Source organism: Homo sapiens, chromosome 2 (assembly GCF_000001405.40).
Source record: "Homo sapiens chromosome 2, GRCh38.p14 Primary Assembly".
Taxonomy (NCBI): domain Eukaryota; kingdom Metazoa; phylum Chordata; class Mammalia; order Primates; family Hominidae; genus Homo; species Homo sapiens.
The window spans coordinates 68,350,919-68,353,530 of record NC_000002.12 but is presented as its reverse complement, the minus strand read 5'-3'; the positions used below and the strand labels follow the sequence as shown (position 1 = coordinate 68,353,530).

Genomic DNA, 2,612 nt, shown 5'->3' with positions numbered 1-2,612 from the left:
AGTGACAGGGTCATTTTATTCATTTTCAAGAAAATGTCTACCAAATACCCAAGTCTGAATAACCAGATTGCCATTTCTTTCAAGCAAAAATTGTGTTTCCACAAAAAAGTGGCTAGTTCAGCTCACAGCTCCAAGAATCACACATGTATGTTTTTCCTTTAGATATTATAATAACAGAGAGTATTATAAAGATATGCACTCAAGGGTAAAGATTTCATAAAAGATTTTCATAATAACTTTTACTGCATCTTCAAGGACATTTTGAAGTTTGCTTGCTTTTTTTCTCCACCCTGACTGAATCACAGTGAAAATTACACAATTTCTGCCTTGATTCATGCTAAGGTGTCAGCAATTTTACTCACCATTTTTTTTGCACTGTCAGTGCAAATGTTGACATAGAAAAAAATCAAATAACATCTTGGTATTACTATGAAAATAGTTTACACCTCTTAGACTCTTGAGTCTCAGAGACTCTCAGGAGCCTGTAGCCCATACTTTGAGAACTGCTCATTTCAGAGATGTTGAATAAGGAAGACAAGAGAGGATTCTAAGACAACCATCACAGCTAAAAATGGAGATAAAGCACATATGAAAACAGATAGATAAAGTCTGCATACCAGACAGTGAGATAATAGTCAGCTCACCCCCTCTTCTTGGGTCAGGGATATTGGTAGCCAGGCCAACACCCACCCAGAGCATGATTGGGGTGTACCTCTCTGGGGAAACGACTATCAGATATGACACTGAGGAGGCCTCCAACAAACGACCAGGTCTCTGCCCAGCCAGCCACTGGGAGCAAGATAAGTTGAAAAATACCACCCAAGCACAAGTAAGACTTTTAGTGCCTTATATCTGAACTTGAATGGCATCAAAAGATAACTAGGCACAGGAAGAAAACCGTTAAGATGAAGCTAGAAATGAAAACAAACATGCAAATCACAAAGAACTGTGTGAGAAGAACAATGCAAGGAAGAAAAGAAAAAATAATTAATAACCTCAGAGAATTAACAGAATATATTGCACAAGAACTGGAAACATAATATTATATACATTCTTTTTAGCTTGTTTTTGTTACCCAGTATTACATTCCTAAAGTTCAAACATCACAGGCATTATGTTGATGCATATAGCTGTACATGTATTCACTCATTTGCACCTCTGTATAACATTCTGTTCTGTGAATATACCCGATATTATTTATAGTTCTCCTGCGAATAGACATTTGAGTTATTTCCAGTTCTTTGTTTTTACAAATGTTCATCCTATGAGGATTGTCCTCTTGTGCTTATGTGCTCTCATTTATGTTGGAGATATACTGACGACTGGAACCACAGATATATTGAGGACTGGAACGGAGTTTCACTCTTGTTGCCTAGGCTGGAGAACAGTGACACGATCTCTGCTCACTGCAACTTCTGCCTCACAGGTTCAAATGATTCTCCTTTCTCCTGCCTCAGCCTCCCATGTAGCTGGGATTACAAGTGCCTGCCACCACCCCCAGCTAATTTTTTGTATTTTTAGTGGAGACGAAATTTCACCATGTTAGCCAGACTGGTCTCGAACTCCTGACCTAAGGTGATCCACCCACCTCGGCCTCCCAAAGTGCTGGGATTAGAGTTGTGAGTCACTGTGCCTGGCCCACAGCGTCATACTTTACAAGATAACAACCACCAAATTGTTTCACAAAATTTACGCATTTATTCTCATATTGGCAGGATTCTATCAACAGTTAGTATTGTTAGACTTTAAAATTTTTGCCAATCTAGTGGATATAAAATGGTATCTCATGGTTTTAACTTGTCTTTTCTTGAATTACCAAAGTTATATGCTTATTAGCTGTCTCAGCATGAAAGTGGGTATTGTTAAATAAAACACAGGCTTACCCAAAGTACATATATTCCTCTCTCATGTGACAAACTATCTAAGGCCAGAACCACTGTACAGTCTGTGGAGCCAGGGCCCCTCAATCTTGATCCCTGGTCCCCACAATAAGGTAAATTTTCTTGAAGGGTGCCCATGATAAAGACCCTGAAATCTCTTTTTACGGAGATGATGTATTCTAGCACCACCTTCCTCCATGCTCTCAACTCATGTTTTCAAAAGCAGAATTGGGTAGGGGGCAGGCTGTGGTCCACAGCAAGGGAAAAGAGGTCCTGTTAGATGCAAGTGGACTACAGACTCAAGAGTCCCATTAAACACTGACCAGTGCAGTATGGCATATTGTACTGTGATGCACGTTCAGGTTTAGGATAGAGGAAGGGAGTATTCTAAACCAGCGCAGTCAGAAAACTGGGCAGGTCTCTATAGGAGCTTAGAAGTCCTGAGCAAAAAGCCCTGTGACTCCAGCAGTTCCTAGCAAGGTCTTCCCAAGCTCACCTCGGTTTTTACCTTTCTTTTATCTTTCAAGAGAGGCCCTCAAGGTAAAAGAAAGATTCCTTGGAATTGTAACATGGAGAAACATCACGGGTTTTGGACTCAGACAGAGTTGCATTCAAATTCCAGCCCTACCTCTTATCCTGGGCAAAGGGCTTTCACCTCTCTGAGTCTCAGATTCCTCACCTGTGAAATGAGATCTGTTGCAGAGAGCAATCGTAGCCTCCTCTAGGGTCGTT

General features: G+C 40.5%; 1 annotated feature.

Annotated features, from left to right (window-relative positions):
• Positions 486 to 900: a transcriptional cis regulatory region, noted in NCBI's record as "candidate enhancer chr2.2452 targeted for multiplex CRISPR interference". NCBI's record gives its function as "positively regulates CNRIP1 gene expression in K562 cells {active_cell/tissue: K562}" and the evidence as "EXISTENCE:mutant phenotype evidence [ECO:0000015][PMID:30612741]".